Source organism: Homo sapiens, chromosome X (assembly GCF_000001405.40).
Source record: "Homo sapiens chromosome X, GRCh38.p14 Primary Assembly".
NCBI lineage: Eukaryota > Metazoa > Chordata > Mammalia > Primates > Hominidae > Homo > Homo sapiens.
In genome coordinates, this window is record NC_000023.11 from 40,346,895 (window position 1) to 40,361,720 (window position 14,826).

General features: G+C 42.3%; 1 long non-coding RNA gene and 1 pseudogene across 1 annotated transcript in view; one reads left to right on the forward strand and one right to left on the reverse strand.

The window, feature by feature from the left end:
• LOC105373182 (uncharacterized) overlaps window positions 1-14,826 on the forward strand; it is an 82,002-nt gene that overhangs the window by 28,854 nt on the left and 38,322 nt on the right. The window lies entirely within an intron of this gene.
• IMPDH1P2 (inosine monophosphate dehydrogenase 1 pseudogene 2) lies at window positions 11,563-13,903 on the reverse strand (annotated as a pseudogene).

Below are 14,826 nucleotides of genomic sequence, written 5' to 3' on the forward strand. Positions count from 1 at the left end.
TAAACTAGTACAACCACTATGGAAAACAGTGTGGAGATTCCTTAAAGAACTAAAAGTAGAACTACCATTTGATCCAGCAATCCCACTACTGGGTACCTACCCAGAGGAAAAGAAGTCATTATATGAAAAAGATACTTGCTCACACATGTTTATAGCAGCACAATTCACAATTGCAAAAATGTGGAGCCAACTCAAATGTCCATCAATAATCAACATGTGGTTAAAAAAACTGTGATATATATATCTCCACACAAACACAATGGAATACTACTAAGCCATAAAAAGGAATGAATTAATGGCATTTGCAGCGACCTGGATGGGACTAAAGACTATTATTGTAAGTGAAGTAACTCAGGAATAGAAAACCAAACATCGTATGTTCTCACTCATAAGTGGGAGCTAAGCTATGAGGACCCAAAGGCATAAGAATGACACAATGGACTCTGGGGACTCGGGGGGAAAGGGTGGGAAGGGGGTGAGGGATAAATGACTACCAAAAAATTGGGTTCAATGTATACTGCTGGGGAGATGGGTACACCAAAATCTCACAAATCACCACTAAAGGACTTACTCATGTAATCAAATACCACCTGTTCCCCAGAAACCTATGGAAATAAAAAACTAAAAAAGAAAGGGATTATATACTCCGGCCAACTGGCATTCATCCCAGGAATGCAAAGGTGGTTTAACATCCTAAAATCAATTAACATAACATACCATATTAATAGAATAAAGTGTCAAAACCATAAAAAAATTTCTGATTTTAGTTATCTTTGTTTTCTCTCTTTTTCTTAGTCATCCTAGCTAAAGGTTTGTAAATTTTGCTGATATCTTCAAAGAACCAACTTTTGGTTTGTTGTTTCTTTCTATTGTTTTTCTATTCTCTACTTCCTTTCTCTCTGCTGCCATCAATTTTTAGTTTGTGTGAACATTCTGAGCTTTCTCATCCATGAACCAAGCTTGGCTTTTTCCCTCTTCCATTAATTAGCTGGTCACAAAGAATACCCCATGAAGCCCTAAGTGTGAGCTGGGGCAGAGGCACAGATGGAACAGTGGTAGATGGTTGAGGGGTCTGCGTCTCTTGCTTAGCCACTTGCTTGTGCTCTCTGGCTTTGCTTGTAAATGATCTACATGTTCCACCTCCATCTTCTGAAGGACTGCTTTTTGGCCTTCCTAAACCTATGACTTGGTGGGTCTGACAGAACCCAGGTCATGATGGTTAGTTCTGGCTGTGTGATCACTTGATTCCCCTTGGTCAGGCACTTGTCTCTACCTGCCACCCACCTTCCTCTGAGAGTCGAGTGTCACCACCTACCATCTGTCATTTTGGGATTCCATCATCCTCATTGCTATCAGTGAGCTCCGTTCTGTAACAGCATATCCTACCATCATTCCCAACCATCCTGATGGATGGCCACTGAGTTTCTCATTGATGCTGGCTCTCCTGTTACCCATGCATTGTTTATTGCTTTGATAAAGTGTGTACTTGGGGGTCCTCCAGTGAGGACTTTATATAATACAACCCCTATATTAGTTGCTCAGGCTGCAGTACCAAAATACCACAGGCTGGGTGGCTTAAACAACAGACATTTGTTCTCTCACAGTTTTGGAGGCTGGAAGTACAAGATCAAGGTGTCATCAGGGTTGGTTTCTGGTGAGACCTCTCTTCCTGGCTTGCAGACAGCCATCTTCTTACTTCTTACTGTGTCTCACATGGCCTCTTCTCTGTACTTGCATGGAGAGCAAGATCTCTCTGAAGTCTCTTTCTCTCCTTATAAAGATACCAGTCCTGCAGCATTACAGTCCCACCCTTGTGACTTCATTTAACCTTAATTACCCCCCTATGCTCCCTATCTCCAAATACAGTCACATTGGAGAGTAAGGCTACAACATATGAATTTTAGGAGGGCACAATTCAGTCCATAACAATCCCCTAGCATGCCTATTTTTCTGTGCTTTTTGGTCTTCCTTCCACAGCCTGCCATGGCAGTTCTCCCATTTCTACCTCATTCAGTGGTGCCCATTGGTTTCTCCAAGCTTCCAACAATGTGTGTAACACCATCTCCCAAGGGTCCTGCCAAGGTTTAAAATCTCATATCATAGATGAGTGGGCATCTATCAATAAACTCTCCCTTAGCCAACTTTATGGCTTACCTCCTGAATTAGTTTACTCGGGCTACCAGAACAAAATACCGCAAACTGAGTGGCTTCCAACAACAGAAATTTATTGTCTCATGGTTCTAGAAGCGGGAAGTCTGAAGTCAAGATGTTGGCAGGGCCATGCTCCCTCTGAGACTCTGGGTAGAATCCTTCCTTGCCTCTTTCTAGTTTCTGGTGGTGCTGCCAATGCTTGGTGCTCCTTGGCTTACAGCTGCATTTAGCCTCTGCCCCATCTTCACATGGCATTCCCCTGTGCATCTTCACATCATCTTCCCTTTGTGTGTGTCTGTGTTCAAATTTTTTCTTTTTAAAGGACACCAGTTGTTTTGATGTAGGGCCCTTCTAGATGACCTCATCTTAACTTGGTTAAGTCTGCAAGAGTCCTTTTTCCAAATAAGGTCACATTCTGGGGTACTGGAGGTTTGGACTTCAAAATAGCTCTTACGGGAGACAGTTTTAGTCATAACCCCTCCCTTGATACAGAATCCTCAGAATCTCATCCATACTCTCTGGGCTTCTGCCATTACATGGTTTGCTCTTACAGTCTTTTGAAATATAGCCACTCTCCTCTCTTAGCAGGCCCGGCACTTTAGTGGCTGGGTAATGTTATGACTGAACCCTAGTTATTGACCTAGCAACCAGGAGAAATGGTTGGGGTAGATCCCAGTAGGGGGTGGGCTATGTGTTATCTTGCAGGGTAGAGGCCTCTGCACCGTCTTCAAACAAAAGGCTATCACTAGCCTTAAGTATAGTCACTCCACCTCTCTTTTTGGTTACTGTTTGCATGGAATATATTTTTTCATTCATTTACTTTCAATCTATTTGCGTTTTTGAATCTAAAGTAAATCTCTTGTAGATAGCATATAGTTGGATCATGTATTTTATTCATTCTGCTAATCTCTGTATTGGAGAGTTACACCTATTTACATTTAACGTAATTACTGATAAGAAAGGACTTACTTCTGCTATTTTGTTATTCATTCCCTGTATGTCTTACTTTTTTTGTTCCTCAGTTCCTCCATTACTGCCTTCTTTCATATCAATTGGATATTTTCTAGTGTAACACTTGAGTTCTCTTGCCATTTCTTTTTACTATACATTTTTGGGTTATTTTCTTAGTGGCTGCCCTGGCGATTATAATTAACATCTTACATTTACAACAACCCAGTTCATATCAATGCCAACTTAATTCCTTTTCTTTTTCTTTTCTTCAGAGACAGGGTCTTACTCTGTCACCCAGTGCAGTGAGGGTGCAGTGGCATAATCATAGCTCACTGCAGCCTCGAACTCCTGGGCTCAAGTGATCCTCCTGCTTCAGTCTCCCAAATAGGTGGAATTACAGGCACATGCCACCATGTCTGGCTAATTTTAAAACTTTTTGTAGAAACCAGGTCTCACTATATTGCCTAGGTTGGTCCTGAACTCCTGGGCTCAAGTGATCCTCCCACCTCAGCCTCCCAAAGTGCTGAGACCATAGGTGTGAGCCACTATGCCTGGCCTTAATTTCAATAGTATACAAAATTGTTCCTCCATATAGCTCTGTCCCCCTTCCCATGTTGTTATTGTCACAATTGTATGTTTATACATTATGTGCCCATTAACATAGATTTATAATTATTGTTTCTTATAGATGTCTTTTAAATAAGATAGGAAACAAGGAGCTACAAACCAAAAATACTTTCTAACAAAGTTTTTTATTATTATTATTATTTTTTAGACAGAGTCTCACTCTGTCACCCAGGCTGGAACGCAGTGGTGTAATCTTGGTTCACTGCAACCTCCGTCTTCTGGGTTCAAGCGATTCTCCTGCCTCAGCCTCCTGAATAACTGGGATTACAGGCACCTGCCACCACGCCCAGCTAATTTTTGTATTTTTAGTAGAGACAGGGTTTCACCATGTAGACCAGGCTGGTCTTGAACTCCTGACATTAGGTGATCCACCCACCTCGGCCTCCCAGAATGCTGGGATTACAGAGTGTGAGCTACCATGCCTGGCCAATACAGACTTCTATATTTGTCTATGTACTTACCTTTACTGGTGTCCTTTATTTCTTTATGTGGGTTTGAATTACTGTCCAGTGTCCTTTCATTTCAGCCTGAAGGACTCCCTTTAGCATTTCTCATAGGGTAGGTGTACTAGTGACGAACTCCCTCTGTTTTTGTTTATCTGGGCATGTCTTAATTTCTCTTTCATTATAAAAATCAATTATTTAAATTAGTTATTTTAAAGAAGAATTTCTTTTTCCTCTGTTCCATTTGCTTAGTGGTCAGCTAAAAATTGTAGAGATTTCCTTAAATTTCTGTGTGTTTGCATGTTGGGGCACACCTTCAACACTCAGCCAGGCAGTTTAAAACTCTGCCTTAGCCTTCACTTCCTGCTTGTATGGAGCCTGAAGGGCAGCCAGAGGTGGGAACTTAGGGTCTTCTCAGGTCTTTTCTGAGCCTGCACATAGTCCTGGGCATGCATGCGGCCTTTTGGATTCCCAGGAATATGCCAGAACTTTTCAAAGCTCTTATTCCCAAATCACCTCATTATTCAGATTTTTCTCCCAAGATTTTTGGTTAGTCTATTGCCTGTCCCAACTATTATCCATTGCCTCAGATAGCAGTGACTAACACAATTACCTATAAATGTTTTCAGAGTAAGTTAAAATGCCACAAAGCTCATCATTCCTACTGAGGTTCAGCCTGTTTTTCTTAAGTAGTCTCCTGGTTGCTGCAAGCTTTGAGTTAATTTCCAGAGTTCTGAAAAAGTTGATTCCAACCATTTTTGCCTGTTTTTTCATTGCATTTATGGAGGGATGAACTTTTGGCATTTCTTATTCCACCATTTTTGCTAGGCACTAGCCTTAAACAAGGTGGAGTGGGCCACTTCTGCAGGCCCAGAGGGTTTGGGGTATATGGTGAGTTAAGATTTTTTTGATAGCATTGATCCAGATGTCGTGTTCCATATCTCAAGGCGCCACTCCTTCCCAATCAGGGCCCTGATCTTGGTAGAGCGGACTCACTGGAGTTGAAAATTTCACTTTCTCTGGAGCTCTGATGCTCTTATAATTAACTCCTAGGCCTGACTCTCAGCTTTTTCTGTCCACTGGCTACAGTAGATAAGGGTCTCTTTTAATGCAGCTGGCATGGGATACTGCTGGCAAGAAATTCACTGGCCTGGTGCAATGTCTCAGGCATTTAAGAGGTACAAGGGAAATAGTAATTATAAAGACTATTGAATTTTTGAAATATATAATACTAAGAGAGTACATTTCAAATGTCTAATCATAAAAAATGATAGGTAATTGAGGTGATGAATATGTTAATTTGCTTGATTTAATCAGGCCACATTGTATTCATATATCAACACATCACATTGTACCCCATAAATGTAGATAATTATGATTTGTCAATCAAAAATAATATTGATAATAATTTTTTAAAAAACACATTGAACAAAAGATTATGGAATTGGAGGGATGTTTCTGGAAGCATCCAATGCATTGGAAAAAAATAATGAAAATTGAAGGTGATATCACTAATTAAATGCTAAGAATAAAAGCCATAGAGTCTCCTTAAAAATACTAATAAATGAAATAATATTGAAAAACACTAAATTGATCCAAATGATAGCATGACAAATAGCAAGCATTCATCAAGATGATTAGCTTAAAATTAAGTATATTGTAATTATATTATGTGTAAAGTAACTGGTTAGATATGTATACAAAGAATACACCAAAGAAAGAAAGGAAGCCAATGTGACTATATTTTCAGACAAAAATGAGCATTATGGACAAAAGCATTACTACAGATAAAGAAGATGTTATCATGATTAAAAAATGTTCGATTCACCAGGAAGATATACCAGTTCTAAATGTGTATGCTTCTAATAAGAAGGCCCCAAAATAAAGCAAAAATTTAATTACAAAAGGAAAGCCCAGTCCTTGATCACGGTAGAGATTTTACTTATTTATTTGTTGGTTTATTTATTTATTTAACAGACAAGGTCTCACTCTGTCACTCAGGCTGGAGTGTAGTGGTGTGATAATAGCTCACTGTAACCTTGAATTCCTGGCCTCAAGCCACCCTCCCCACTTAGCCTCCCAAAACACTGGGATATAGGCATGAACTGCCATACCCAGCCCATAGGGGAGATTTTGACAAACCTTGCTCAGTAACTGATAGTACAAACAGACAAAGGTATCAGTAAGGATATAGAACATTTGTACAACTCAACTAACAAACATGACCTAATAGGCATAGAAAGAATAATGTAGCCAACAAGTATAGAAAATAACTTCTTTATCAATTCCAATAAGATAGTTACAAAAGATTAACTGTAGATTGGGCCATAAAGCAAGTTTCAACAAATTTCAAAAAATGGTGCATGGTCTCTACCTCAATGCCAATAAGCTAAAAATCAATACTAAAAAGATAATGTAAAAGTCTCTTTGTGTTTGGCTTTAAAAATAACTAATAATAATAATTTCAACTTTTATTTTAGATTCAGGGGGCACATGTGCAGGTTTGTTATGCGGGTATATTGCATGGGGCTGAGGTTTGGGGTACAGATTCCCTCACTCAGGTAGTAAGCATAGTACCAAATAGGTAGTTATTCAACCCACACCCACATCCCCATCTTTCCCCAGTAGTCCACAGTGTCTATTGTTCCCATAAGTGAAAACATGCAGTATTTGATATTCCATTCCTGTTATTATGATCTCCAGCTGCATCCATGTTGCTGCAAAGGACATTGATTTTATTCTTTTTTTGTGGCTGCATAGTATTTCATGGTGTATATGTACCATATTTCATTTATCCAGTCCACCATTGATGGGCACCTAGGCCAATTCCATGTCTTTGCTATTGTGAATAGTGAAAATAAGACAATATTTTGAACTGAATGACAATGAAAATTCTATATACCAAAACTTGTGGGACACAGATAAAGCAGCATTCGTTAAGAAATTTATACCCTTAAATGTATGTATTGGAAAAAGGAGAAAGCCTGAGGCCGGGCACGGTGGCTTATGCCTGTAATCCCAGCACTTTGGGAGGCCGAGGAGGGTGGATCACGAGGTCAGGAGATTGAGACCATCCTGGCTAACATGGTGAAACCCCGTCTCTACTAAAAATACAAAAAATTAGCCGGGCGTGGTGGCACGCGCCTGTAGTCCCAGCTACTCGGAGGCTGAGGCAGAAGAAAGGCGTGAACCCGGGAGGCGGAGCTTGCAGTGAGCCGAGATCACACCACTGCACTATAGCCCGGGTAACAGAGCGAGACTCTGTCTCAAAAAAAATTAATGAGCTAAGCATCCATATCAAGAAGCTAGAAAAAGAACAGCAAACTTAAACCAAAGGAAGTAGAAGGAATGAAATACCAAAGAGTAGAAATCATGAAATAAAAAACAAAGATGTAATAGAGAAGTTCAACAAAACCAAAAGTTGGTTCTCTAAAAAGATTGATGAAATTGATAAATCCATGTCAACGCTGATAGAGAAAAAATGAGAGAAGACACAAACTTATTAGTGTCAGGAATTTTAAAAAAGATATCACTATAGATCCTTCTGATGTGACAAAGATACTAAAATGATATTTTGATCAGTTTTATTGCAATAAACTTTAAAATTAGATGAAATGAGCAAAGTTTTAGAAAAATAAAACATATCAAAAAGATGCGGCCAGGCATGGTGGCTCACATTTATAATCCCAGCACTTTGGGAGGCTGAGGTGGTCAGATTGCTTGAGCCTAGGAGTTCAAGACCAACCTGGGAAACATAGCGAGGCCCCATCTCCACAAAAATTTTAAAAAAGATGCAAGAAGAAATAGAAAATCTGAATAGTTCTAGAAATACTGAATAAACTGAATCTTTTAAAACTCCCCCACATCTCTCCCAGTGCGTCACCCATCACACCACAGAAGCTCTAGTTCTAGATAATTTCCCCTAAGAATTCTACCAAACATTTAGAGGCAAAATATTACCAATATTATAAAACTCTTCTAGACAGTAAAAATGAGGGACCACTCCTTGCACTCCTCTGGTAAAGCCCACATTACCTAGATAAGGAAACACAACAAGAGCATTATGAATAAGAAAAATTACTGGCCTGTCTGTCTCAAGAACATAGATACAAACTACACTAACAAATTATTAGCAGACCGAACCTAGCAATAGAACATGGGGAAAAATAAAAAGATAATATACTTTTACCATGTAAGATTTTTTTCAGAAATACAGTTATTTTGATAGTAGAAAATCAACCAATAGAATTTGCCACATTAACAGGAAAGGCAAGAAATATACAATCCTCCTTAAAAATGCAGAAAAAGTGTGTGTTTTTTTGGTGTTTGGTTTTTTTTTTTTTTTTTTTTTGAAACAGAGTCTTGCTCTGTCGCCCAGGCTGGAGTGCAGTGGCGCGTTCTCGGCTCACTGCAACCTCCGCCTCCCGGGTTCAAGCAATTCTTCTGCCTCAGCTTCCCGAGTAGCTGGGACTATAGGCGTGTGCCACCATGCCTGGCTAATTTTTGTATTTTTAGTAGAGACGGGGTTTCACCATATTGGCCAGGCTGGTCTCGAGCTCCTGACCTCGTGATCCGCCTGCCTCGGCCTCCCAAAGTGCTGGGATTACAGGCGTGAGCTACCGCGCCCAGCCAGAAAAAATGTTTTATAAAAGTAACATTCATTTATAGATACGAACTCTTGGCAAACTTCTCTATTCTGATGGAAGTTATCTGCAAAAAACTTACAGCAAAAATTATACTTAGTGGTGAAATATAGAAATGGTGAAATATAGAAACCTTTTCTTTGAGATCAGGAGAAAGAGAAAGATCCCTACAATGGTGCCAGCTATTCCAGCAAAACAAGAAAAAGAAAAAGAAAGTAAAAGTAAAAGAAGTAGACAAGACAAAGTAAAATGAATTATTTGTAGATAATGTTACTGGGTACATAGAATAGAATAACCAACAGAAACTGAAATTCAGTGCTATTTACCACGGCACCAAAAAATATCAACTACTCAGGAATGACTTTTTTTAAAAAAAGCACAAGCTGTCCTGCAGAAAACTATTAAACATTACTGAGAGAAATATTCAAAAATAAACAAAAAAAAAAAAAGAGAGAGAGAGAAATATACCATGTTCCAGAATTGGAAGGTTCAATACTATAGAGATATAAATACTTCCCAAATTGATCTTCAGATTCAATGCAATCATAATCAAAATCTGAAAAGGTGTTTTTATTTGTCTGTTTGTGGAACTTGACAAATTAAAAGTTTATGGAAATTCCATACTGAAAGTTTGTGGAATTCAAAGTCCCAAGAACTGTGACATGCTTGAAGATTGAGACTTGCTCTACTCTGTATTAAGACTTATAAACTGACAGTATATACAACTGAAAATAATTGAAATAAAAATAAACCAGCATGGCATAATAGAGGGTCCAGAAACAAATCTTTGCGTATATGGAAATTTGATTTACAACAAAGGTAACCTTGTAAGACAGTGGAAAAAGAATGATCTTTTCAATAAATGGTACAGGGATAAAGGGATACCTGTATTTGCAAAAATGAAACTTGGCTGACCTGAGGTCAGGAGTTGGAGACCAGCCTGGCCAACAGGGTGAAAGCCCGTCTGTGTTAAAAATACAAAAATTAGCAGGGTGTCATGATGCGTGCCTGTAATTCCAGCTACTCAGGAGGCTAAGGTGGGTGAATCACTTGAAACCGGGAGGCAGAGGTTGCAGTGAGCCGGGATCGTGCCACTGCACTCCAGCCTGGGCAACAAGAGTGAAACTCCGTCTCAAACAAACAAACAAACAAACACTCCTACAAATCATTAAGCAAAAGACGGACAAACACAGTAGAAAAGTGGGCAAGAGATTTGAACAAGCATTTAGGAAAAGAGTGCAAATAAATGACAAAAAGGGGCTCAATCTTATTAGTGAGAAAGGAAATGGAAATGAAAACCACAAGGAGATACCATTATACTCCCACTAGAATGGCTAAAGTTTAAGAGTGACAATACTAAGTCTTTGCAAGGATATGGAACAACAGGAACTTTCACACTGCTAGTGGGAGTGTGAAATAGAACATTTTCAAAAATAATTGAGCATTATCTACCAAAGTGGAGGATATGCATAACGCTGAGAACCAAAAATTCCACTCCAAGGTTTATATCAGTCAGAAATGCATGTACACGCATAAACTGCTCATAGCAGCAAATACTCATTAACAATAGAATGGGTAAGTACATTTTAATATACAAATGCGGCCGGGCGTGGTGGCTCATACCTGTAATCCCAGCACTTTGGGAGGCCGAGGATGGCGGATCCCCTGAGGTCAGGAGTTCGAGACCAGCCTGGCCAATATGGTGAAACCCTGTCTGCTGAAAATACAAAATTAACCGGCAAGGTGGTGGGCACCTGTAATCCAACTACCTGGGAGGCTGAGGCACGAGAATCTCTTGAACCCGGGAGGCAGAAGTGGCAGGGAGCCGAGATTGTGCTACTGCACTCCAGCCTGGGCAATAGAGAGAGACTCCATCTCAAAAGAAAAAATAATGCAATGGAACACTAGTGTACAGCAATGCAAATGAACCACCTGTAGCTTATATCCAACAACATAGTTGAATCTCGGAAACATAATGATGAGCAAATGAAACCAGACACAAAAGAACACTTTCTATGTTATCTCATTTATATAAAATTCAAAAACAGGCAAAACTGAACTAGTATGTTTAGGGATGCCTAACTAGGCTGTAAAAGTATAAGAGAATGCTAAGAAATTACTACCAAGAAGTTAGGTTAGTGGGGAGAAGAGTGGGAATGGGTGGGATACAGGGGGGTGCTTTGGTGGTGCTGGCAATGTTATGGTTCTTTTTTTTTTACTTTTTCAAAAATAAGTTTTTAAAGAAAAATTAGAGATGGGGTCTCACTATGTTGGCCAGAGTAGTCTCAAAATTTTTCTGGTTCTTGATTATAGAGTGGTCATTACACAAGTGTTTGCTTCATGATAACTCACTAAACTGTACAATTATGTTTTACAATTTTATTTTTAACAGCTTTATTAAGGTATAATTCACCCATTTAAACGGTACAAGTCTCTGGCATTTGGTATATTAAATTATTAATTTTTTGAAATTGTAGTAAAACATATATACCACAGAAAATTTGCCATTTTAACCATTTTCAGCATACAATTCAATTGCATTAAGTACATTCACAATGTTGTGCAACCTTCACACTACCTGCTTCCAAAACTTCATAAACCCAAACAGAAACTCGGTACCCATTAAGCATTAACTCCCCATTCTCCCCTCTCCCTAGCCTTTGGTAAGTTTTATTCGGCTTTGTCTCTTTAGTAACTTCTATTTGGCTTTGTCTCTATGAATTTGCCTATTCTAGATTTTTTTTTTTTGGAGGCGTTGAGATCTGCTTGATTTATTCCAATTATTTAATACCCACAATGTCGCAACTGTGATCCCAAAGTGTGCAAAGTTAAAGCCTTAAACTGCAGCTGAGGAGAGGGCAGGAATGGCACACCTGGGGACGGTGGTGAGTCAGGAACGATGGGCAGGTGGCCATGACCAGGGCAGTGTCCTCCCCAGGGCCAGGGACAGGGGAGTGGCCTGAGGAGCAGGACTCAATTGGAGCCCAGTGCCGGAGAAGCGGGCAGAGACCTCCCGCTGGCCTAGGTCAGGAGCTCAGAAGTGCCACATGGCTGAGGGGGCAGCAGCCTGGGAAGGGCCAGAGGCAGGGCCAGGAGAGTGCCATTTCTTGGGGAGCTGGGGGGCAGGGAGGTGTCCTACAGGAGAAGCCAGGAGGGGCGGCCTGCCCCTGGGGTGGGGGCCGGGCTGGAGCAGGCTGCAGCAAGAAAGACCTGAGGCAGGCGCAGGGCCTGAGAGCCTGGCTGGCTGGGCTGGGCTTCCCAGGGCAGCCTGGCCCAGGGAGCGGTCCTGACTTTGTGGGAGATGCCCAGCGAGGGGCAACAGTACCCTCAGGGCCTCCCGTCCTCTCTCCCTGGAAAGGAGCTGGGGAACCCATAGTGTAAATCTGTGGATCACTCAGTTAAGGAGGGAGGCTGTGCCCAAAGGGGGAAAGCGGGGCACGCCCCTTCAACCACCTCGGCCTCCACCACTCTCCTCAGTACAGCCACCTCTCGTAAGAGTGCAGGCCATGAACGCCACCCTCGATCTGGGCCGACACGGTCCCCTTCTCAAACTTGAGCTCTCCTGAGTACATCATGGACCGAAGGACAGCCAGGCTTCGGGCCCCGATATCCTGGCAACTGTGCTGGATGCCCGCTATGAGGTAGGGCACGAACTTCTGAATGGACCCTTTGTCCTGGATGGAGCCCAAGATACCCTGCGAGAACTTCACCTTATCCGCCTCGCTGAAGTATCGTTTCTGGCTGCTACTGCTCTTCTCCATGGCATCCACAGAGCCCATGCCCTGATACTTCTTGAGCGGCACCCCGTCTGAGAAGAAGTATTCACCGGAGGCCTCCGTGGTGGTGGCCAGCAGGGAGCCCATCATCACTGTGGAGGCTCCAAGGGCCAGGGCCTTGACCACGTGCCCCACGGTCTGGATGCCACCATCAGCTATGATGGGCACACCAAAACGCCAGGCATACTCGGCCACCTTGTACACAGCAGTGCCGTGGGTCCGACCACAGGCCATCATTTCCAGGGTGATGCAGATGGAGCCGCAGCCCATGCCCACGTGCAGCCCATCCACACCAGCGTCAATCAGGTTCTTGGCCTGGGCTGCTGTCACCACATTCCTCCCAATCACCTGGAGGTGGGGGTACTTCTGTTTGATGTAACGCACCATGGCAATCTGATACACCGAGTTCCCTTGGGACGAGTCCAAGACTATGACATCGACGCCCGCCTGGGTGAGCAGGCCCAGGCGGAATTTGTCATCTTCACAGGTGCCCACAACTGCCCCGCACAGCAGCTGCTTGTGGGAATCCTTGGAGGCCAGAGGGTAGTCTCGGTTCTTCTTCAGGTCCGTGCGGGCGATGATGGCCACCAGCTCATCATGATCATTGACAACAGGCAGCTTCCCTTTCTTGCTACGCTGCAGGATCTCATTTGCCTCTTTGAACGTCACGCCTGCTGGAGCCACCACTAGCTCCATCCTTGGCGTCATCACCTCACTGAGGAGGGTGTGTGGTCCTTCTCAGCAAGGAAGTCGATGTCTCGGGAGGTGAGGATGCCCACCAGCTTGCTGCCGATGGTGCCGGTCTCAGTAATGGGGATGCCAGAGAAGCCATGCCGCATCTTGGCCTCCAGCACATCACCCACAGTGTGCAAGGGGCTCAGTACCACAGGGTCTGTGATGAAGCCCTGTTCAAACTTCTTGACCTTCTGCACCTTGTTGGCCTGGAACTCTGGGGTGCAGTTGTGGTGAATGAAACCAATACCTCCCATCAGAGCCATCGCGATGGCCATGTCGGCCTCTATCACAGTGTCCGTGGGAAAGGAGATCAGTGGCGTCTTCAGCGTGATCTTCCGGGTCAGGGCTGAGGTCAGGTCCACCTCACCAGCTAGGAAGTCTATGAATCCTGGGAGAATCAGGAAATCGTTGTAGGTGAGGTCGTCAGCGCTGGCAAAGAGCTGCTGTGCGGTGAGCCCATCCTCGGGCTGGTAGCGGGTGCCGCCGCTGATGAGGTAGTCCGCCATGCTGCCAGCGACACCCTGCGACCTGACGTAAACACCCGCGCCGCCACCCGCCTCTAACGCAGCCGCTGCTGACGCCACGCCACAGGTAGGGCGGGCCAGGGGCTTATTCTAGATATTTCGTATAAGTGGAGTCATACAGCATTTGTCCTTTTGTGTCTGGCTTCTTTCACTTAGCATAGCATTTTTAAGATTCATCCATGTTGTAGCATGTATCAGAATTTCGTTCCTTCGTGTAACTAAATACTGTTCTATGATAGGGATACACAGTTGGCTCTCGTATTGTGGGTTTGGCATTCTCAGATTCAATCAACCTCAGATTGAAAATATTGAAAGACTATACGTAGTGGCCCATGTCTGTAGTCTCAGCTACTTGAGAGTAATGCGGGAGGATCCTTAGAGCTCAGGAGCTTGAGACCAGTCTGGGTAACGTAGTGAGATCTCCCATCTCTAAAAAAAAAAAAGAAAATATTACCCAAAAAAAGCCCAATAAAAATAATACAAATAAAAAACAATATGCTATAACAACTGTTTACATAGCATTTACATTGTATTAGGTATGATATAAGTAATCTAGAGATGATTTAAAGTATATGTTATATGCAAGTACTACACCATTTTATTTAAGGGACTTGAGCATCCCAAGATTTTGGTATCTGCTGGGGTCCTGGAACCAGTCCACTCATGGATACTGAGGAATGACTGTATTATGTTTTGTCTATCCGTTCATCTGCTGATAGACACTTGGGTTGTTTCCACCTTTTGGCGATTGTGAATAGTGCTGCTGTGAATATTGGCATACAATGTTGGCATACTCTCTTTGAATCCTTGCTTTTCATTCCTTTGGGCATATACCCAGGAGTGGGATTGCTGGGTCCTATGAGTATATTAATGTTTTCAGCATTTTTCTACAAGCTTTACATTTCACAATGAAAAAAAGAGAGAGGGAGGTGAGAAGAGGAAAAGGAGACAGCAGATATAGACAATTCTTTTGAAT